Here is a 24737-nt window from a genome sequence, read left to right on the forward strand (position 1 = left end):
TTTGGAAATCCAAAAGCCTGTGAATCTGGTCCATGTCAATTATTTTGTTTACAGGATATTGCATTACTAAACCTAAGGTGATCTCCAAGTTGGAGAAAGGAGAAGAGCCATGGTCTTTAGAAGATGAATTCCTGAACCAGAGGTACCCAGGTGAGTGGGCATTAACAGAAGGAGCCCCCTGGGGGTACTTAGTCTTTAGAGGGAGAGCACCTTTGAAAGTTTTTTTGGAACAGCTTTATTGAGATATAATTCACATGCCTACAATTCACTCCTTTAAAGTGTACAGGTCAGTGACTTCAAGCAACCACAGATCAAAACTATTCAGGGAAGAAATATTGCACTTTCATTCAACATGTATAGACATTTTTTTCCTGTCACTATTCCCTGAACAATATAGTATAACAACTATGTACATGGCATTTACATTGTATTAGGTAGCATAATTAATATGGTGATGATTTAAAGTATACAAGAGGATGTGCATAGGTTATATGCAAATACTATGCCATTTTGTATCAAGGACTTGGGCATTTGTGGATTTTGGTATTTAAGAGAATCCTGGAACCAATTCCCCATGGATACCAGGGGATGACTGTATATGCAGACATCACCACAGTTAATTTTCATCACCTCAAACATACCTGTACCCTTTAGTTATCACTGTCCCATCCCCCCTGCCCTCTGCAGCCCTAGGTAACCACAGTCTACTTCTGTGTCTATAAATATGCCTATTTTAGACATTTTGTATAAATTGGATCATATATGTGGTCTTTTGTGATTGGTTTATTTTGCCTAGCATAATGTTTACAACTGATATAAAATACATGTTTCATTCTTTTTATGGCCAAATAATGTCCCGTTGTATGGATGTACCACCTGTTTGTCCATTTATCAGTCAGTAGATATTTGGGATTCCACCTACAAATAATGCTAATATAAACATTTATTTACAGGTTTCTGCATGGACAATTGGTTTTATTTCTCTTGTGTATATTCCTAGGAGTGAAACTGCTGGGTCATATGGTATCTGTGTCTTTATCTGTTTGAGGAACCACCAGACTGTTTTTCTAAATGCAGCATTTTTCCGTTCCTAACAACAGCATATGGGGGTTCTGATTTCTCCACATCCTCACCAGTGCTTGTTATTGTTTGACTTTTTGATTCTAGCCACCCCAGTGGATGTGAAGTGATATCTCACTGTGGTTTTGATGTACATTTCTGTATTAGTCAGCTAGGGCTATCATAATAAAATACCATAGGCTGGGTAGTTTAAACAACAGAAATTCTCATGATTCTGGAGGCTGGGAGTCTAAAATGAAAGTACTAATAAGTTGGTTTCTGGTGAAGCGTCTCTTCCTGGCTTGAAGACAGCCACTTTCTTGCTGTGTGTTCATGTGGCCTTTCCTCTGTGCACATGCAGTGGGAGAGAGAGAATACTCTGGTGTTTCTTCCGCTTCTTATAAAGATATCAGTACTACTGGATTAGGGTCCTTCCCTGTGACCTCATTTTTACCCTTTTTGCCTCCTTGAAGGCCTTGTCTGCAAATACAGTTACACTGGGGGTTAGGGCTTCAAGATAAGAATTTGGGAAGGACACAAATAAGTCTATAACAATTTCCCTGGTCACCAATGATATCAGGCATCTTTTTATATGCCTATTAGGCTTTGTACGAATAAATGATTCCAGAAATCTTAAAAAGTTATAGTTTTCAATGTCATTTTTAGAATAAAAAAGTAAAATCATCTTATTAGAAGTGAAGCACAATTAAGGTTTTTGTTTGAAGCCATACCAACAAATAGCATCACATAAAGAGTGACATAATTTAGATCAAGTATGTTGCTGAGTCACTAAATGTAAATTATTGGATCATATTGATTGTCTAAAAAGGATATCCCTAAATAAGTAACATAGAAAGATCATTATAAAAGATCAGTAAAGTTGGGCCAGGCGTGGTGGCTCATGCCTGTAATCCCAGCACTTTGGGAGGCCAAGGCAGACAGATCACGAGGTCAGGAGATGGAGACCATCCTGGCTAACACGGTGAAACCCTGTCTCTACTAAAAATACAGAAAATTAGCCAGGCACCTGTAGTCTCAGCTACTTGGGAGGCTGAGGCAGGAGAATGGCGTGAACCCAGGAGGCAGAGCTTGCAGTGAGCCGAGATAGCACCACTGCACTCCGGCCTGGGCAAAAGAGCGAGACTCAGTCCCAAAAAATTAAAAAAAAAAAAAAAATCAGTAAAGTTGTTGAGTCAATAAAGATAAAATAATGTAGATTTCATGTTCTATATCATTCAGATTTGAATTCAGGCAAGAAATTCATTAAAGTAGGAAAAGCTCTCATTCAAGAGCACAGGGAAATGAAAACCTTTAAGGATTTGAATGACTGCACCAAATAATATAATATCAATGTTTCTAAAACATAAAATAATGGAGTTCTAAGAACTTAAAACTCATTAGAATTAGGACATCATAATGTCTCATCTGATTAAACAGTAGGTACAGTGGACATTAAATAAATATGCCTAGAGAGGCTATAAATTACATTTGTATTAAAGTGAACCATACATTTGTGTATATGTATGCTAATGCAAAAAACAAAACTTTCATGTTTTAATTGAATAATGATAAAATAGAGTATACTATTAGTCTAAAGAGAAAACCTCAATAAATCTAACAAATTAGAATAAACACAAACAGTATTCTCTGAACCTAGTTTGGTAAATCCAGAAATTAATAATAAAATGAAAAAAATCCACTTGAAAAAATTTTAGTATCTCTTTTAAACAATATACAAAAAAGTGTAATGCAATTTTGGATTTGATTTCTGTAATGAAATAATTGTAACTGCAAGTTAGAAACCATCAGGTATAGCTAAAGTAGTGGACAGAAGGAAGTTCGTAGTCTCATTAATTAAGCAAGAACAGCATCAAAAATACAATAGTGAAAACAGAAGAATTTAAAAGTAAAATTAAAAATAAAATGGAAAACAGAAATGGAATGTTTCTTACAAGAAAAATAAAATGAATTAAACTTCAGCTAACCCTATCAAAGAAAAAAGAGAGGAAACACCTATATAATAAATTCAAGTCAGGATACATCTGTAAAGAGATAACGCTATACCAAACACAATCCCATTCATAAAAACGAGTGATACAGGAGGATTTGCTGCTCTACCAGATATTGAGGCTTTATGTAAAGTGCTGTGTAGCTAAGTAGCATGGAGCTGGGGGGTGGGATGATTTAGTAAATTAGTGAAACAGAGTAGAAAGTTAAAGAAAAAAACATGAGGCCAGGCGTGGTGGCTCATGCCTGTAATCCCAGCACTTTGGGAGGCCAAGGTGGGTGGATCACAAGGTCAGGAGATGGAGACCCGTCTCTACTGAAAATACAAAAAAATCAGCCAGGCGTGATGGCAGGTGCCTGTAGTCCCAGCTACTTGGGAAGCTGAGGCAGGAGAATGGCGTGAACCCAGGAGGCAGAGCTTGCATTGAGCCGAGATTGCACCACTGCACTCCAGCCTGGGCGACAGAGCAAGACCCCATCTCAAAAAAAAAAAAAAAAAAGACAAAAGAAAAAACATATACTTGATAGACATCTTAGATAGATGACACTGGAGAACAATGAGGAAAGGATCTTGAGGTATCCATATAGATCAAAACAAAACAAAAAGTCGAATTCAGTTGGCTTAAGACCTAATTATCAAAACAAAAGTAGAAATATTCTAGAAGATCATATAGAATAGGTTAATGACTCTTCTTAGGGAAGGATTTAATAAAATACAGAATGCATTACCCAGGGGAAGGATGGAGTAAATGTATTCCTTTCTACTCTACCCACTAAGTGCAGCTAAATATCTGTATATAGAAGCATGCCTCAGAGATATTGCAGTTTCTGTTCCAGACCACTACAATGAAGCAAATTTCACAATAAAGCAAGTTACACACAATGTTTGTTTTCCTAGGGCTTATAAAAGTTTTATGTTTACACTATACTTTAGTCTTTTAGATGTGCAATAACATGTCTAAAAAACAGTATGCATGCCTTAATTAAAATATTTGTTTGCTAAAAACTGCTGAGTCAAACACAAAGTGAGCACTTGCTGTTGGAAAAATGGCACCAACAGACTTGCCCAACTCAGGGTTGCCACAAACCTTCAGTTTGTAAAGAATGCAATATCTAGCCAGGCACAGTGGCTCACACTTGTAATCTCAGAACCTTGGGAGGCCGAGGCAGGCAGACCACTTGAGGCCAGGAGTTTAACGAGCCTAGCCAACATGGCAAAACCCTGTCTCTACTAAAAATACAAAAAAATTAGCCAATCATGGTGGCTCGTGCCTGTAATCCCAGCTGCTTGGGAGGCTGAGGCACGAGAATTGCTTGAATCTGGGAGGTGGAGGTTATGGTGAGCTGAGATCACACTACTGAAGGGTGGAAAGAAGAATGAAGATGCACTAGGGGTCTTGGCACCTGACAAAATACAAGGTGGTTAGTGTTATCAGAGTCCTTGTGGGGCTCCTGATCTTTCACCCATGCCCAGGGTTAATGTAGAAGCCTCAGCTAGGCACGGTGGCTCACACCTGTAATCCTAGCATTTTGGGAGGCCGAGGCGGGTGGATCACCTGAGGTCAGGAATTCAAGACCAGCCTGACCAACGTTGCAAAACCCCATCTCTACCAAAAGTACAAAAATTAGCCAGGCGTGGTGGCAGGTGCCTGTAATCCCAGGTACTCAGGAGGCTGAGGCAGGAGAATCGCTTGAACTCGGGAGGCAGAGGTTGCAGTGAGCCAAGATTGCGCCACTCCATTCCAGCCTGGGTGACGAGAGAAACTGTCTCAAAAGGAAGGAAAAAAAAAAAAAAGTAGAAGCCTCCTCTTCCACCCCCAGGGGGTCAGATCAGTGGGGAACTGGACTTCCTTCCCCACGTAGCAGGCAGTGATGCTGCACCTCACTCCCGCTAGTATAACTTCAGAGGAGGCTCACTAAAACTGAATATTAATTTTGATAAAGTCCAACTTACTAGTTTTCTTTTACAGAACCTGCTTTTGTTGTTCTATCTAGAAACCTTGAAACTCAAAGTAACAGATTTAGGAATCCTATTTTCTTCTAGAAATTTTACAGCTTCAGTTTTTACACTTAGTTGATAATCCATTTTGTGTTAAATTCTATAGAAAGTATGAGTTATGTGTCAAGTTAAATGTTTTTGGAACAGGGAGTCCAGTTATTCCAGCATCACTTTTTGAAAAGACTGTTACTTCTCCACTGAACAGCATTTCCACCTTTCTTAGAAAACAGATGGCTGTACATTTGGGGGTCTATTTTTGTAGTTTAATATTCCTTTTCATTCATCTACATGTCTTTCCTTATGCCAATACCACATTAACTTGATTACTCTAGCTTATTAAGTTTTGAAGTCAAGTACTTCTCCAGTTTTCATCTTGTGTATAAATTTTTAAATGAGGTTCATAATCTTTACAAAGGAAACATGTTGGCATTTAAACTGGAGTGGCATTGAATCTGTAGAACTTAGGAGAATTGACATCTTAACAACGTACAGTCTTCCAGTCCATACACAAAATATCCCTACTGATTTATTTACTGTTTCTTTGATTTCTTTCATCAATGTCTTTTAGTTTTTAGAACACAGATAACGAGGCTTTTTTAATTTTTGTTTTTAATTTTGTTTTGGTGCTGTAATATTGTTTCTGTGATTTAAAATTCCAATTCATCATTGTATGTTTGTAGGCATAGATTTGTATATTGGCCTTAGATTCTGCCCTTGCTAAAAACACTTATTAGTTCAAGGAACTTTTTTGATTTTAAACTTTCTGTGTAAATTTACTCTGTATCTTTGTGTTTTTATTCTTACCTTTTTGCACTGGCTGGTCCTTCCAGTGCAATCTTGTGTAAAGCTACTGGTAGTGGGCATCTTTGTCTTTTTCCTGATCTTAGAGGGAAGACATTCAGTCTCTCTTGAGTATAATGTTAGTTATAGGCTTTTTATAGATTACTTTTATTAAATTAATAAATGGATTTTGAATTTTGTTAAAATTTTTGGCATTGATGTAGTGTGTGATTTTAGTTCTTCAGACTAATGATAGGAGATTACATTGACCTGAAATGCAGCATAAAAACTATAGTTTTTATAGTATTGCAGTGTAGTAACTGTTTGGCATTTTTGAGGTAAATTTCACTGATACATTATCTATGTTTATATATTTCAGTGTACTTTTTGGGACATTTTTGCATTTATGTTATGGGAGATATTGGTCTGAAAGCTTCTTTTCTTGAATAGTATTTGCCTAATCTTGCTATGAGGATGAGGCAGGCCTTATAAAATGATTTGGGAAATATTCCATCTTTTATTTTCTAGAAGACATTGTGTAGGATTGGTATTATTTCTTCCTTGGATGTTTGGTAAAATTTACTAGTTAAAACTATTTGGTCCAGAAGTTGTTCTTTGGAATTGCACACACACACACACACACACACACACACACACACACACATACACATATATAGAGGAAGATTTCATTACATTCTTAAGCCTTATTTACATATGCAAACATAGTTAAAATTTGAGTAAATTAGACATTCAGTTAACATATCCTCCATCATAATGAAGTAAGTTAATATGTTGTCGTAAATATCCTTTTCACTGACAGCTCCTTTAGAAAAAAAGTCTTTTAGATTATTCTGCCATTATGTTTTAACATTTGACATAGAATATATTCTCTGTGGTTACAATACACATTCACCTGCCTCTTCTTTCCACTTAGATTGTCCAAATAAAGTTAGTTTGCTTTTATAGTTAAAAAAAAAAAAAAGAGAGAGACTAGAATGCTGTTACAAAACGGTGTCAGAGCTAGCTACTTCACTTTTCACCATGTAAGGATATAACAAGAAGTGAGTGGTCTGTAAACCAGAAGAGGTCTTCACAAGAACACAGTCATGTTGGCACCCTAATCTCAGACTTCCAGTCTCCTGCACTGGGAAAAATAAATGTTTATTCTTTAAGCCATTTAGTCTATGGTAATTTGTTGTAGTAGCCCGAACTAAGACAGAGTTATTGTTATTGTTGTTTTATTATCTCTTGAATGTCTGTTAGTAGTTAGTCCTCTCTTGAATTTTTGGTATTGGTAATTTGTGTCTTCTCTTTTTTTCTCTCTGATGGTTTTTATCATTAAAAAAACTTTTTAAAAAATTAAGCTTTTGGTTTGACTTTTTTGTCATCCTTCTACTTTCTTTCAACTTAATGTCCTGTCTTTATCTAGTTTCCTAAGGGGGAAACAAGCATCTGACTGGAGATCTTTCTTTTCAAATATAATTTTTTTAAAGACAGAGTCTCACTCTGTCACCCAGGCTGGAGTACCGTGGCTCACTGCACCTCCACATCCCGAGTTCAAGCAATTCTCCTGCCCCAGCCTCCTGAGTAGCTGGGATTACAGGTGTGCACCACCACACTCGGCTAACTTTTGTATTTTTAGTAGAGAAGGGGTTTCACCATGTTGGTCAGGCTGGTCTCAAACTCCTGACCTTGTGATCCACACACCTCAGCCTCTCAAAGTGATGGGATTACAGGCGTGAGCCACCGCGTCTGGCCAAAAAAATTTAAGCCCCAAATTTATCTCTGTGTACTGCCTTAGCTGTATCCACAAATTTCTGTATTCTAAGTTGTTTTGTTTACATTCACTTCAAAATATCTCATTTGAGAATTCTTTCACCCATGGGTTAATTAGGAATGTGTAACTTACAGTTCTTTTGTATTTCTCCAGATAAATTTGTGTTTACTGATTTCTGGTATAATTTCTCTGTGGCCCAAGATCATCCTCTGTATAATTTATTTCTTCTATATTTCTGAAGGTTTGTCTTACAGTCTAGAATATAGTCTGTTTTGATGATTGTTCCATGTGCATTTCAGAAGAATGTGAATTCAGCTGTTGAATGCATTGTGTCTTCAGGTTTGAAGCCATGGTTATTGCAAGTGCTACTTTATCTTATCTCTTCTGCTTGAGTATTGGGTCTACTGTGTATTCCTGCCTCTCCTCTTACTTCTGTGCTTCTTTTTTTCTTGTTTCCTTCCCATAGCTGCTATGAGTTCCTGTCAGTGCCCTAAAACAACTTATTATATTCTTGCCCTTGCAGATTAAGACATTTGTTCCATAAATTAGATAATAATTTGGTTCTAGGCAGAATTTTGGTAGTGGCTGCTGTGACCATCTCCCAGCATATCCTAAGAATGGAACTTTCTCAGGATTCTTCATGGCTCATGGAAGAAAACATATAAGAGCATGCAGATCCTGTGTATCTACGGCAGGGAACATTAGCTCCCTGCTCAGCCTCCATGGAACCACAGGATTGTATCATTTTGGTTTGGCCTGAGCATGAGAAAACATCAAAAGTGTTTCCTGTTCTGTTAGACCACCATTTTCTCAGACCTCTGGCTGGAAGAAGCAGGCTTTTCTTTGTGCTCTTTTTGTCTGTGCCTGTCAGTGCAGGATTGTAGGTTTCTTCAGCACCCAGTCTAGGATATAGAATAGCCTTGGAATTCCATACTGTGTCATTTCTTAAGTCCTGAAGTCCACTTTCTTTCCATTTTGTAGTATTCGTATATTTGTATATTTGTTAATCTTTTTTTGTTGTTTTGTTTTTTCTGTAGGGATTTTTAATTGTAAGAGGGAAGATGTGGGAGGAAAGGGGTTACTACTCCACCTTGACTGGCCCCGGAAATAATACCTGTTTTATAAACAGCATGGATGAGGAGAGAGTCTGTCTGTGTGCATGAAGTATTTAATATTTGGAAACATGACCAGAAACAATAGAATAAAATACATAACAAAACAGGGGCCGGGCACAGTGGCTCATGCCTGCAATCCCAGCACTTTGGGAGGTCAAGGCAGGAGGATCGCTTGAGCTCAGGAGTTTAAGATCAGCCTGGGCAATGTAGCAAGACCCTCTCTCCACTAAATATAAAAAAAATTAACAGGACATGGTGGCATATCCCTGTAGTCCCATCTAGTAGGGAGGCTGAAGTGGGAGGATCACTTGAGCCTAGGAGTTCAAGGCTGCAGTGAGCTATGATCATGCCACTGCACTCCAGCCTGGGTGACAGAGCAATACCCTATTTCAAAAACCAAAACCAAAATCAAAATATGAGTATAAGTTCTTCTCCATGAGAAATGTAAGATTTATACTATATTTTCAATTTTTCTCATTTTAGGGTATTTTAAAGTTGATCACATCAAAGGGATCCGGGAAAAACAAGAAAAACCTCTGTGGCAAGAAATATTCATCAGTGATGCTGACAAAACATTGAGTAAAGAAGGACAGAAAGTTTTAGAAAAACCATTTAATCTGGAAATAGCTCCAGAGCTTTCAGAAAAAATATCCTGTAAATGTGACTCACACAGAATGAATTTGCCAGTTGCTTCTCAATTAATTATAAGTGAAAGAAAATATTCAAGAAAGAAGACTGAATACATGAATGTGTGTGAGAAACTGCAGCTTGATATTAAGCATGAGAAAGCTCATGCTGAAGAGAAATCTTATGAACATGGTGAAAATGCTAAAGCTTTCAGTTATAAGAAAGATCAGCATTGGAAATTTCAAACTTTGGAGGAATCTTTTGAATGTGATGGATCTGGACAAGGTTTATATGATAAGACAATTTGTATTACACCTCAGAGTTTTCTAACAGGAGAAAAGTCCTGTAAGGATGATGAATTTAGAAAAAACTTTGATAAAATCACTTTATTTAACCACATGAGAACTGACACAAGGGGGAAATGCTCTGATCTTAATGAATATGGGACATCCTGTGACAAAACCACCGCTGTTGAATACAATAAAGTTCACATGGCTATGACACACTATGAGTGTAATGAAAGGGGGATTAATTTCAGTAGGAAGTCACCCCTCACTCAATCTCAGAGAACTATTACAGGATGGAGTGCTTTTGAAAGCAATAAATGTGAAGAAAATTTTAGCCAGAGCTCAGCCCATATAGTACATCAGAAAACACAAGCTGGAGATAAATTTGGTGAACATAATGAATGTACAGATGCCCTCTACCAGAAATTAGACTTTACAGCACATCAGAGAATTCACACAGAAGATAAATTCTACCTTTCTGATGAACATGGGAAATGCAGAAAATCCTTTTACCGGAAAGCACACCTCATTCAGCATCAGAGGCCCCACTCAGGAGAGAAAACTTACCAATATGAGGAATGTGCAAAATCCTTTTGTTCAAGTTCACATCCTATTCAGCATCCTGGAACTTATGTGGGATTCAAACTTTATGAATGTAATGAATGTGGGAAAGCTTTCTGTCAGAATTCAAACCTCAGTAAACATCTGAGAATTCACACAAAAGAGAAACCTTGTGATAACAATGGCTGTGGGAGATCTTACAAGTCACCCCTCATAGGACACCAGAAAACAGATGCAGAGATGGAACTCTGTGGTGGCAGTGAATATGGGAAGACATCACATCTCAAAGGACATCAGAGAATTCTCATGGGGGAGAAACCCTATGAATGTATTGAATGTGGGAAAACTTTCTCCAAGACATCACATCTCAGAGCACATCAGAGAATTCACACAGGTGAAAAACCCTATGAATGTGTTGAATGTGAGAAAACTTTCTCTCACAAGACACACCTCAGTGTACATCAGAGAGTTCACACAGGGGAGAAACCCTATGAATGTAATGACTGTGGGAAATCTTTTACCTATAACTCAGCCCTGAGAGCACATCAAAGAATTCACACAGGTGAGAAGCCCTATGAATGCAGTGACTGTGAGAAAACTTTTGCCCATAATTCAGCCCTCAGAGCACATCATAGAATTCACACGGGGGAGAAACCTTATGAATGTAATGAATGTGGAAGGTCTTTTGCCCATATTTCTGTTCTCAAGGCACATCAAAGAATTCACACAGGGGAGAAACCCTATGAATGTAATGAATGTGGGAGATCTTTCACCTACAATTCAGCCCTGAGAGCACATCAGAGAATTCACACAGGTAGAAAACCCTATGAATGTAGTGACTGTGAGAAAACTTTTGCCCATAATTCAGCCCTCAAAATACATCAGAGAATTCACACGGGGGAGAAACCCTATGAATGTAATGAATGTGAGAAAACATTTGCCCATAATTCAGCCCTTAGAGCACATCAGAATATCCACACAGGGGAGAAACTCTATGAATGTAGTGAATGTGGAAAAACTTTTTTCCAGAAGACACGCCTCAGTACACATCGGAGAATTCACACAGGGGAGAAACCCTATGAATGTAGCAAGTGTGGGAAAACTTTCTCCCAGAAATCATACCTCAGTGGACATGAGAGAATTCACACAGGGGAAAAACCGTATGAATGTAACGTATGTGGGAAAACTTTTGTCTATAAGGCAGCCCTCATAGTGCATCAAAGAATTCACACAGGGGAGAAACCCTATGAATGTAACCAATGTGGGAAAACTTTCTCCCAAAGAACACACCTCTGTGCACATCAGAGAATTCATACTGGGGAAAAACCCTATGAGTGTAATGAATGTGGGAAAACGTTTGCTGATAATTCAGCCCTCAGGGCACATCACAGAATTCACACAGGGGAGAAACCCTATGAATGTAATGACTGTGGGAAGACTTTCTCCAAGACATCACATCTCAGAGCACATCTTAGAACTCGCTCAGGGGAGAAACCCTATGAATGCAGTGAATGTGGGAAAACCTTCTCTGAGAAGTCATATGTTAGTGCACATCAGAGAGTTCATACGGGGGAGAAACCCTACGAATGTAATGTATGTGGGAAGCCATTTGCCCATAATTCAACCCTCAGAGTACATCAAAGAATTCACACAGGGGAGAAATCCTATGAATGTAATGATTGTGGGAAAACGTTCTCCCAGAAATCACACCTTAGTGCACACCAGAGAATTCACACAGGGGAGAAACCCTATGAGTGTAATGAATGCGGAAAAGCTTTTGCCCAAAATTCAACTCTCAGAGTACACCAGAGAATTCACACAGGGGAGAAACCCTATGAATGTGATGAATGTGGGAAAACTTTTGTCCGTAAGGCAGCTCTTAGGGTACATCACACCAGAATGCATACCAGAGAGAAAACCCTAGCATGTAATGGATTTGGGAAGTCCTGAGGGAATGCATACCTTACCACATAACACGTAGTGCAGAAACTCATGTGACATAGGCTGGGAACTTGTTTCCCTTATCCATTTCCTTTTTCATTAGGCTCATAGTTTGTGGAAAAATCCCAATATGCCGTTTATTCAGGTGGGGCTGACCATGGGATGTGGTGCTAATGATAAATATTACATTTACCCTTGGCCCTTAAAAAAAAAAAAGAAAAACCCTCACAGTCTTCCTGGTTCATAAGATGGATTTGGAGGTTATTTCTGCAGCAAACTTGGGTCCTGTGTGTTCAAAACCATAGAGCACAAGGTCAAGGAAGCTAGAGTCTGAAAAACGAACAATTCACTTCCAGGTCTTCATCAGGGTTTTGTTTTTGTTGCTTTAAAGCAAGAGTTAAGTTTATAGTCTGTTAAGCTCTTACAAATTTGGCTTATTAGTTAAATGGACGTAGTTTAGCTTAAACTTTATGTTAGAGTGAGATGAAACCCTATGAATATAATCAGTTTTAGAAAAACTAATCAGTTTATTGTGCATCAGAGACGTCACATGAAGAAGAAAACTTGTCGACATCCAGGATGATCAGGAGCCTTCATTAAAACAGAAATTTTAGGGAAAACCACAAAAACCTTCGTAAAGTGAATTGCATTAAACATCAATTATAATAAAATTTCATATTTTGAATAAATGACATTTTTCCTAGGTATTTTTTTCTGAGGAAATATGTCAGTTTTAGAATTGGAGATAAAATATTCACCTAGAACTGATGTACCAAGCTTCTGTTTTGTAATATCAAAAATTTTATAGAACATATATAAGAAAATATTTACCTATAGAAAAACTCACTGTAGAATGTGAAGTTAAAAATGGAATAATTTGAATTCTGTGGAGAATGTGAATAAATGTGGAGAAGTTTGTTATTGCTAATCGATTGCAGAATGGCAAATGTTGCTGCCTGATCCTTCCTCTGGAAGCTTCGTCTCAGAGGGGTACTAGGCTGTATGAGGTGTCAGTCGGCCCCTACTGGGAGGTGTCTCCCAGTTAGGCTACTCGTGGGTCAGGGACCCACTTGAGGAGGCAGTCTGTCCATTCTCAGATCTCCAGCTCCATACTGGGAGAACCACTACTCTCTTCAAAGCTGTCGGACAGGGACATTTAAGTCTGCAGAAGTTTCTGCTGCCTTTTGTTCAGCTATGCTCTGCCCCTAGAGGTGCAGTCTACAGAGGCAGGCAGGCCTCCTTGATCTGTGGTGGGCTCCACCCAGTTCGAGCTTCCTGGCCTCTTTGTTTATGTACTCAAGCCTCAGCAATGGCAGACACCCCTCCCCCAGCCTTGCTGCCACCTTGCAGTTTGATCTCACACTGCTGTGCTAGCAGCGAGCAAGGCTCCGTGGGCATGGGACCCTCCAAGCCAGGCACAGGATATAATCTCCTGCTGTGCCATTTGCTAAGGCCATTGGAAAAGCACAGTATTAGGGTTGGAGTGTCCTGATTTTCCAGGTACTGTCTGTCAGGGCTACCCTTGGCTAGGAAAGGGAATTCCCTGGCCCCTTCTGCTTCCCGGGTGAGGCAATGCCCTGCCCTGCTTTGGCTCATGCTCCATGGGCTGCACCCACTGTCCAACAAGCCCCAGTGAGATGAACCTGGTACCTCAGATGGAAATGCAGAAATCACTCATCTTCTGCGTCACTCACGCTGGGAGCTGTAGACTGGAGCTCTTCCTATTTGGCCATCTTGGAACCTCCCCTCATGTAAATTTCTTTTAAAGATAATTGGTTAAACTGAATGATAACAATGTGTTGTTATTGCAACATATGTATATACAAATAAAGTATATGACAAAAAAGCATAAAGACTGAGAGGGGAGAAATGCAGGTATACTATTGTAAGGTTTGAATAGTATATGTGAAATGGTATAATTCACTTGAAGCTAGATTGTGATAAGTTTAAGACATATACTATTACCCCACAGCAAACACAAAATTAGCAAAATAAAGAATTATAATTTTAAGCCAAAAAATACCAGAGACAAGTCTCAATCAATTCAGAAGTTTATTTAGCCAAGGTTAAGGACATACCCATGACATAGCCTTAGGAGGTCCTGAGAACATTTGCCCAAGGTGGTCTGGCTACAGCTTGAATTTCCATGTTTTATGGAGGTATAAGACATGAATCAGTACATGTAAGACATACACTGGTTAGGTCTGGGAAGGTGGGGTGTATTAGGGTTCTCTAGTGGGACAGGACTAATAGGATAAATTTATATGTGAAAGGGAGTTTATTAAGGAGTATACACTGTCACAAGGTGAAGTCCCAAAATAGGCCATCTGCAAGCTGAGGAGCAAGGAAGCCAGTCTGAGTTCCCAAATCTCAAAAATAGGGAAGCCAACAGTGCAGCCTTCAGTCTGTGGCTGAAGGCCCAAGAGCCCCTGGCAAACCACTGGTGTAAGTCCAAAAGTCCAAAAGCCGAAGAACTTGGAGTCCAATGTTCAAAGCCAGGAAGCATACAGCATGGGAGAAAGATGAAGGCCAGAACACTCAGCCAGTCTAGTCCTTCCACATTCTCCTGCCTGCTTTATTTTAGCTGTGCTGGCAGCTGATTAGATGGTGCCCACCCAGATAGAGGGTGGGTCTGCCTCTTCTAGTCCACTGATTCAAATGTCAGTCGTCTTTGGCAACATCCTCACAGATACATCCAGGAACAACACTTCGCACCCTTCATTCCAATCAAGTTGACACTCAATATTAACCATCACATGGAGCAATGTGAAGGGGGAGGAAGGGGCAGTGGGGGGGTTGTGGCCTGCAAGTCATAAGTGGATTAAAAGATTTCCTGATTGGCAATTGGTTGAAAGCTTTTATCTAAAGCCCTGGAATTAATAGAAGGGTTAAAATAAGGGGTTGTGGAGACCAAGGTTTTTATTATGCAGATAAAGCCTCCAGGTAGCAGGCTTCAGAAAGAATAGATTGTAAATGTTTTTTATCAGACTTAAAAAGGTACCAAACTCAGTTAATTCTCTCCCGGATCAGGAAGAAGACCTGGAAATAAAAGGAGATTTTCTGTAGAAGGTAGATTTTCCCACAAGAGACAGCTTTGCAGGGCCATTTCAAAATATGTTTAAGAAATTTAGCCAGGCACGTTAGCTCATGCCTATAATCCTAGCACTTTGGGAGGCTGAAGCAGGTAGATCACTTGAGGTCAGGAGTTTGAGACCAACCTGGCCAACATGGCAAAACCACGTCTCTACAAAAAATACAAAAAAATAAGCCAGGAATGGTGGCGGGCACCTGTAATCCCAGCTATTCAAGAGGCTGAGGCAGGAGAATCACTTGAACCTGGGAGACGGAGGTTGTGGTGACTGAGCCAAGATCATGCCACTGCACTCCAGCCTGGGCAACAGAGGGAGACTTCATCTCAAAGAAAAAGAAGAAGAAGGAGAGAAAAGAAATATCTTTTGAGGTAAAATATTTTTATTTCTTTTAGGGCTTGCTGTCTGTCATGTTGGTATCTTAATGGCTACCAAGAGTCTGTTTCATCAGTCGTAAGGTCTCTGTTTTAATGTTAAATGCTGGTCAGCTGTGCCTGAATCCCAAAGGAACGTGAGTATAGTGTGGCATGTCTGACCTCTACTACCCATCATGGCCTGAACTGATTTTCCAGGTTAACTTAGGAATGCCCTTGTTTGAGAAGAGGGGTCCATTCAATTGGTTGATGGGCTTAGAATTTTACTTTTGATTTACATAGTTAATGAACCAGAAAGGAAGATGAAATGTAATAAAAATGTTTGATCCAAATGGAAGAAAAGAAGAAAAAAGAACAAAAATCAAAATTATCGACTCAAACCTAACTATATAAATAATCATATTAAATGTAAATGGTTTAAACACCTCAATTAAAAGTCAGGAATTGTCATATAAATTTTTTAGGAAGACCCGATTCTATGCTGCTTACAAGAAATACACTTTATATATAAAGAAACAAATAGGTTAAAAAATACATACCATGTTAACAGAAATCAACAGAAAGCTGATAAATCTAGCCAGATTAATCAGGCATTAGAAGAAAAAAATGCCAGTAGCAGGAATGAGAAAGGTGACATGATTTTAGGTTTTAGATGTTAAAAGAATCATAATAAAATATTATATATAACTTCATGTCAATGATTTCCACAATTGTCATAAAATAGATGAACTCCTTGAAATACACAAACTACCATATCTCACTCAAGAAGAAATACATAATCTGAATAGCCCTACATCTGTTAGAGAAATACAATTTGTAGTTACAAAACCTTCACATAAAGAAAATGCCAGGCCCAGGTGGCTTCACTAGTGAATTATATCAAATATTTAAGAAGTAATACTAATTTTACATGAACTCTTCATAGAAAATTTTTGAGAAGGTAATTATTTCCTACCTCATTCTATGAAATTAGCATTACCCTGATATAAATGTCAAAGACATTACAAGAAAAGTAAACTAGAGACAATATCTCTCATGACATTAGTTGAAAAAATGCAATTTTAGCAAATAAATTACAGCATTATGTAAACAGAATAACACACAAGGACCAAGGGGGCTTATCCTAAGAATGTGAAATTGTTTTAACATTTAAACATCAAACAGTGTACTAAGAAGAAGGAAGACAAAAACAGAAATGAAAAAGACATTGCAACTGATGTCACAGAAATCCAAAGATCATAAGAAACTGCTGTGAGAAAAAATACACCAATAAACTCAATAACCTAGAAGAAATGGATAAATTCCTAGAAACATACAACCTACCAAGAGTGCATCATGAAAGAAATAGGAAATTTAAACAGGCAAACAGTGAATAAGGAGATCAAATCAGTAATAAAAAAAACTCCCAACAAAGCAAAGCCTCCGACCTGATGACTCTGCTGCTGAAGTCTACCAAATATTTAAAGAAGAATTAATACCAATCATTTTAAAACCCTTCCCAAAAAATCAAACAGGAGAGAATATTTCCAAACTCATTTCACGAGGCCAGCATTATGTGAATTTAAAGACAGACAAAAGACACTACAAAAAGAAAACTACAGGTCTATGTCCCTGATTAATATAGATGCAAGGATCCTCAACAAAATAATTGCAAACCAAATTTAACAGCAAATTAATAGGATCATACACCATGACCAAGTGGGATTTATCCCTGAGTTGCAGGGATGGTTCAACATATGAAAATCAATTAATGGGATACAGTTAATAGAATAAAAGATAAAAATCACAAAATCATCTCAATAGATTTAAAAATAATAATTTGATAAAATTTGACACTTTTTCATGTTAGAAACTCTCAACAAACTAGGAAGAGATGGAAGTTACCTCAACATATTGAGGCCAGATATGAAAATCCCACAGCTAACACCACACTCAGAAGTAAAAAACTAAAAGCTTTTCCTCTAATATCAGGAAAAAGACAGGGATGTTCACTTTTACCACTTCTATTCAACATAGTAATGAAAGTCCTGCCCAGAATGATTATTCAAGATCAATACAAAAAATACATCAAGTTCAGAAGGAAGAAGTGAAATTGTACCTGTTTAAACATGATCTAATATACAGAAAACTCTAAAGACTCCACAAAAAACTGTTAGAATTAATAAGTCAATTCAGCAAAGTAGTATGATAAAAAAATGTAAAAATCAATTGCATTTCTATACACCAAAAATAAACTCTCTGAAAGAAAATTAGGAAACCAATCCCATTTACAACATTATCAAAAATAATCAAATACTTAGGAATAAACTTAGCCAAGGAGGTAAAAGACACACTGCAAACTGCAAAACATTAATTTAAGAAATTTAAAAGGACACAAGTAAATGGAAAGACATACTGTGTTCATAGATTGGAAGTCTTAATATCTACACTACTCAAAGCAATCTACAAATTCAATTCAATCTCCATAAAAATCCTAATAGCATTTTTACAGACAGAGAAAAAACAATTCTAAGATTCATATATAATTGGAAAGTACCCTGAATAGCCAAAACAATCTTGAGAAGAAAGAGCAAGGCTAGAGGCATCACTTCCTAATTTCAAAATATATTGCAAAGCTATAGTAATTAAAATAGTATGTTAACAGCATAAAGATAGACATATAAGACCAATGGGTTAGAATAGGGAGCCAAGAAATAGATCTGTGTATATACAGTCAATTGATCTTTGACATGGGTGCCAAGAATGCACAATCAGGAAAGGACAGTCTCTTCAACAAATGCTGCTGGGAAAACTGGATATCTCCATGCAAGAGTAGAACTGGATCCTTGTCTTATACCATACACAAAAATTAAATCAAAATGGATTAAAAACTTAAATGCAAGGTGAGACTGTAAAGCTTCTATAAGAAAACACTGGGAAAAAGATTAATTTCCAAAATACGTCAGGAACTCAAACAACTCAGTAGATAAAACTAACAATCTGATTTTTTAAATGAGCAAAGGACTTGAATAGACATTTTTCCAAAGAAGAGAAATACCCACAGGTATATGAAAAGATGCTCAGTGTTACTAATCATCAGAAAAATGTAAATCAAAACCACAATGAAATATTTCCTCACACCTGTCAGGATGATGATTATTTAAAAAAAAGACAAGTGTTGGAAGGGATGTGGAGAAAGGGAACCCTTGTACATTGTTTGTGGGAATACACGATGGTGCATTTACTATGGGAAAAAAGAATGAACGTTCTTCAAAAAGTTAAAAACAGAGCCATTATATTGCTCCAATAATCCCACTTCTGGGTATTTATCCAAAAGAATTGAAATCAGGATCTTGAAGTAATATTACCATTCCTATGTTCATTGCAACACTATTCGTAATAGCTCAGATGTAGAAACAACATTAATGTCCATTAACAGATAAATTCATAAAGCAAATGTGGTATAGACATACAATGGAAATACTATTCAGCATTAAAAAAGAAATTCTGCAATATGCACAACATGAATAAACCTTGAGGATATTATTCCAAGTGAAATAAGCCAATCACAGAAAGACAAATCCCGTATAATTTGCTTATCTTAGATAGTGAAAATATTAACAGTACAATTCATAGAATCAAAGAGTGGAATGGTGGTTGCCAGGACGGGAGTGAAAGGGAAGTGAGGAGTTGCTTATCAATGGGTATAAAATTTCATTAATGCAAGATGAATTAGCTTTAGAGATCTGCTGTATAATACTGTGCCTATAGTTAACCATATTTTATTGTATACTGAAAAATCTCATAAGAGAGTAGATCTCATGTTATATTCTTACCACAATAAAATAAAAATTTTAAAAATCAAGCACTGTAGTTCACCAAATTGAGAAATTAAAAAAGAAAAGATCTTATCTCAGTATAATCAGAAGAAAATAACTCTCAGCAAACTGGCACTAGCAGGAAACTTCTTCAACCTGATTAAGGTAATTTACAAAAAACCTACAGGTAATGTCACGCTTAATGTTGAAAGACTGAATGCTTTCCTCCTGAGATCAGGAATGAGATGAGAATGTCAGCTCTTACCACTTCTATTCAACATTGTAATTGAGGCAATAAAGCCAAAAGAAAAGAGAAAAACACACAGGTGAATTGGAAAAAAAGCAAAATTGTTTCTGTTTCTCAGGTAACATGACAGGAAGTTTTGTGGAATCTACACAAAAACTATCAGAAATTAATATGCTACTAATTATTATTAACTAATAAGCTGATAAAGCTACTAGTACTAACAAATTAGTTAAGCAAAGTTGAAGGATAGAATACGACTATACAAAGTTTCTTCCTTATACTAGCAATGAACAATCAGAAATTGTATTTTAAAATTATGATTTATAGGCCATACACGGTGGCTCATACCTGTAATCCCAGCACTTTGGGAGGCCAACGCGGACAGATCACGAGGTCAGGAGATGGAGACCATCCTGGCTAACACGGTGAAACCCCATCTCTACTAAAAATACAAAAAAAAAAAAAAATAGCCAGGAGATTTACAATAGCAGCAAAATATCAAATACTTAGGGATAAATTTGAGCAACAAAACATGTAAGACCCTTCTACCCTGGTTTGATAGAGAGGAGTGGAAGAGAAGGCTTGCCAAAGGGCAACAGGAACATTTTGGGGTGACAGATATTAATTCTTGACTTTTAATGATAGTTTCCTGTGTTTTACACGTGTCAAATACTATCACACTGTACACCTTAAATATGTGCAGTTAATTGTATGCCAATTATACCTCACTTCTCTTAGGAATGAGAAATTGGCAATACATGTTAAACCCACTCTGTTACTTTCTTTTCCAGGGCCTCAGACAGAGACAGAGGGGTGTGACAATCACAGCTGTGATAGCTAAACTTGCCCAAAAATCTGTTTAAACTCAGTAAAAATGAATAAATGAAAAATCATTTTGCTTGAGAATAAATTTCTCTTTTTAACTTCTTGCACAAATTGCAACTGCATTGCCCTTCCCTTGCTTTGCCTTTTGATCTCAGAAATGATCCTGCAGTCCGACCCTGAACACTAACCTTGATTGGAGCAGCAGGAAAATATCATGGGATGTCTGAACAAATTATGAAGCTTATAACCCCCAGGTCTTACAATTTTCCAAGCTTCTCCTCCTAGGCATTACCTGTGCTACCACACAGAGCCATTGCAGGCACGGGGAAATTGAGAATTCTTCTTAAAGCTGTTAAGGGACTGAGGAATAAGTGAGATTTGTCTCTTAAGCACTGAAGGATTCCCTAAAATGTATAGACAGCCTTGTAGACAGCTATTGAATTATTTGTCCAACTGTGTCTGGAATGTTTCTTCCAGGATGCAGGTTCTTTAATGCTCCTAATCTAAAGATAGTTTAGATTTGAGTCAATTTTTCCCCCAGGTCTTAAGCTAGGAAACTATGCAGGTAACTAATGGGATTATGACAAAACTCTTCAGGAATCTTTTTATTTTAACCCTTAAAGTAAAAGTGATTCTTTAAATCTTCCTGAACCTTGAAGAATTGAGCTAACTCAGATATTAACAGTTTAGAGTTGCTTTTTCTTTTTCTTTTCTTTCTTTTTTTTTTTTTTTTAGACGGAGTCTTGCTCTGTTGCCCGGGCTGGAGTGCAGTGGCATGATCTCGGCTCGCTGCAACCTTCGCCTCCCGGGTTCAAGCGATTCTCCTGCCTCAGCCTCCTGAGTAGCTGGGACTACAAGTGCCCGCCACCACGCCCAGCTAATTTTTGTAATTTTAATAGAGACGGGGTTTCACCATATTGGTCAGGCTGGTCTTGAACTCCTGACGATCAGGTGATCCACCCGCCTTGGCCTCCCAAAGTGCTGGGATTACAGGCGTGAACCACCATGACCAGCTTAGAGTTTCTCTTTCTACATCATTTACCTTGTATGTCTATATCTAACCCAGGGCTCAAGACAGTGATCTTAGACTCAACAACTTGGAATTATTTTTCCATTCACACAATTTCTCCCAGAGCTGTTTAAATTCACAAGGTAGCTGCTTCTGATGGGTTTATGAGTCAGATTTAGACTTAGCTCCCTCAAATTTTACAGAGATCTCTTTTTTCCAACTTGTTTCCAACAAGAGTGTCACAAACACTAGGTGCTAGAAAACCCTCCACTCAGAATAGTGACCTGCATGTGTAGCATCTACAAGACCCCCAGCAAAGACTTGACCTCATTCCCTGAGACTCTATTTAAAGCTGGGACTTGTCCAACTCTGGATGAGCTTGCCTTCTCAAGTTTCTAACTCCTAGGGGTGAGCAAGAAGCTCTACAGTTAAAATTTAATGGAATTTTCAGCCCGGCATGGTGGCTCACGCCTGTAATCCCAGAACTTTGGGAGGCCGAGGCAACCAGATCACAAGGTCAAGAGATCGAGACCATTCTGGTCAACATGGTGAAATGCCGTCTCTACTAAAAAAATACAACAGAGCAAGACTCCGTCTCAAAAAAAAAATGGAATTTTCTCACATTTTTTCAACATTTCCAGAAAGATGGTTGACTTTGCTGGGTTTTCTTTCCTTTTCTTAACCTATAAGAGCAATATCTGTAACCTGCATCCTTTGCCCACAAATGAACTCTGACTTCCTGAAACTCTAAGTGAGCAACTTGGTTGTTACTTCTGGAGGTATCAGCCTTCTGCTAATTGCATTTAAGATGCCATTGTAGAAAGTTTTGGCCATAGGACCTGGCTGGAAAACACTGGCCCCACTGGACTGTACTCTGTACTCAAACTTTCCTTAAGTATAAAGATTTGATAGAGAATGGCTTTTATATAGGAAGATCCTGGGGATAGTTAAGCACATGAGAAATGATTATTGGGGTTCTCTGAGAAAGAAAATTGTCAGAAGAGGCAATTGAATCACCGAGATCTACAAACTAATGTAGAATAAGTCACTGCAAGAGTCAGCTTAATTTCTCTCCAAATGAGAAAGCAGTCGTCAAACTCCTTCACATATCCTTGAAACATACGAACAATCTGGGCATCTGTTGTCTACACAGGGGTTGCTTCTCTTGAATTCTTTAAACATAATTTGGTACAATAGAGTATTAGTCTTTTGCATTTGTGTGTGTGTGTGTCTGTGTGTATACACACACAGACATACACACATATGCCATACAATATTTTTTGAAGTTTTATTAAGTTTAATAATTGAATGACTAATACTGCAGCTATGTCTAGCATATTGTGTTAGAAAACATGCTTAGCCTCTCTGTAAGAGAGAGCCCCAGAGACCTGGGAACGTTTATCTATGTAGAACCATATATCTAGTAGAACCATAGAACATTTATCTATGTAGGCTGAATGTGCGATTTATCATATTCTCAACAATAATCCTACGCTTGGTGAAATGTATAAGGGACCTTTGCGTACCTTTTTTTCTTTTTGCAACTTCATGTGAATCTACAATTATTTCAAAATAAAAAATTTTAAAAAGTACATGTGTCAAAAGAAATCTCTTGATAAACATAAAACAATAAAAAAGGAACCTTTGTCAGAAACACATGGATAGGCTCTCTGTGCTTGTCTCTCATGGCTGTTGCTTAACTTGAATAAAAACTCACATCATGTCAAATATTACAAGCAACATATCTGTGACATAGTCTATTGAAGCAGTCACATTGGCATTGGGGAGATACACAAACAAAGTGAACCATAGCCATCTGGTATTCTCAGCTTGTTTACAAAATCACTTAATGAGGCTAAGTTGAAGATGTGGAAATAGAGGTGCATCTGGGAGTGAATGGTCTCACCTGTCCCCGACTTACTTTTCTCTCTCTCCATTTCCCTCAGGGCTCAATGAAGAGGGAGTCATGAAGAATTTGGAAGAGCAAGTGCCCCAGTCCTATGTATTTATGTCTCCCCACTGATGTACAGTGCTCCATCTGCCATAAATGTCTATTGACTCAATTCTGAGTCATTTACTGGACTTCTATTTTTTTTCCTTTGGGCTATTTCATTTATCAGGAGATTTGCCCCATGCTGTCTTGAAGGCTAACATTATGGATTTTGATTGGTGTACGGCAGTTCCTTACATCTTATTATTATTATTTTTATTCTACAGATTTGTTTTCAATTCTTCGGCCTTTGACTTTTTTTGTACGAAGTTAAGAATTATTAATAGTTGTTTAAATACTCAAAAAACACAGTGAAAATTTTTAGGGGAAATGCACTGAATATATCTATCAATTTGAAAATGGAGGCTGGGTGCAGTGGCTCACGCCTGTAATCCCAGCACTTTGGGAGGCAAAGGCAGGCGGATCACGAGGTCAGGAGATCCAGACCATCCTGGCTAATATGGTGAAACCCCGTCTCTACTAAAAATAAAAAAAATTAGCTGGGCGCGGTGGCTGGTGCCTGTAGTCCCAGCTACTGGGGAGGCTGAGGCAGGAGAATGGCGTGAACCCGGGAGGCGGAGCTTGCAGTGAGCCGAGATCGTGCCACAGCACTCCAGCCTGGGCGACAGAGTGAGACTCCGTCTTAAAAAAAAAAAGAAAAGAAAATGGAAAAGCTTAAAATCATGAGTTATATATTATTATCTTACATATTACTATATACATAATTCAGTGAATTATAGTATTCAAGAATATAGAATGAATTTTCATTTAGTTTTATAAATTTCCATGTTTCTTGATCTTATTGAGCATTCAAGGCAATCAATAAAATATACTCCTGATACTAGAAATTCCTTATATTTTCTGGGTATTTTTTGTGGCATCTGTACATTGCAAATACTTTCTACCAGTCTGAAGATTGGTTGTCACTTTGTTAGGTTTTCTTTAAGATGTTTTTTCTTTCTGGCCGGCCGCGGTGGCTCACGCCTGTAATCCCAGCATTTTGGAAGGCCAAGGCGGGCGGATCACTAGGTCAGGAGATCGAGACCATCCTGGCTAACACGGTGAAACCCCCTCTCTAATAAAAATACAAAAAATTAGCCGGGCGTGGTGGCAGGCACCTGTAGTACCAGCTACTCAAGAGGCTGAGGCAGGAGAATGGCGTGAACCCGGGGTCTGGGCTTGCAGTGAACCGAGATTGCGCCACTGCAGTCCAGCCTGGGTGACAGAGCAAGACTCCATTCAAAAAAAAAAAA

The 24737-nt window shown here is 38.1% G+C and overlaps 1 protein-coding gene across 6 annotated transcripts in view; it reads left to right on the plus strand.

Moving 5' to 3' along the window:
* The window catches only part of ZNF658 (zinc finger protein 658), a 31417-nt gene extending 7860 nt beyond the window's left edge, over nucleotides 1-23557 (plus strand). For 5 of the 6 annotated variants that reach the window (NM_001317916.2, NM_033160.7, XM_047423212.1 and 2 more), the window contains exons 4-5: nucleotides 55-150; nucleotides 9221-12842. In NM_001317916.2, coding sequence (NP_001304845.1) covers nucleotides 55-150; nucleotides 9221-12162 — 3038 coding nt within the window. In that variant the 3' untranslated portion in view covers nucleotides 12163-12842. Of the gene's footprint in view, nucleotides 1-54; nucleotides 151-9220; nucleotides 12843-15637; nucleotides 15754-23440 lie in introns of those variants that run through there. The other variant, NR_134255.1, reaches the window with a different exon arrangement.
* Nucleotides 23558-24737: the final 1180 nt, after the last annotated feature.

This window comes from Homo sapiens, chromosome 9, assembly GCF_000001405.40.
Source record: "Homo sapiens chromosome 9, GRCh38.p14 Primary Assembly".
NCBI classification, from domain to species: Eukaryota; Metazoa; Chordata; class Mammalia; order Primates; family Hominidae; genus Homo; species Homo sapiens.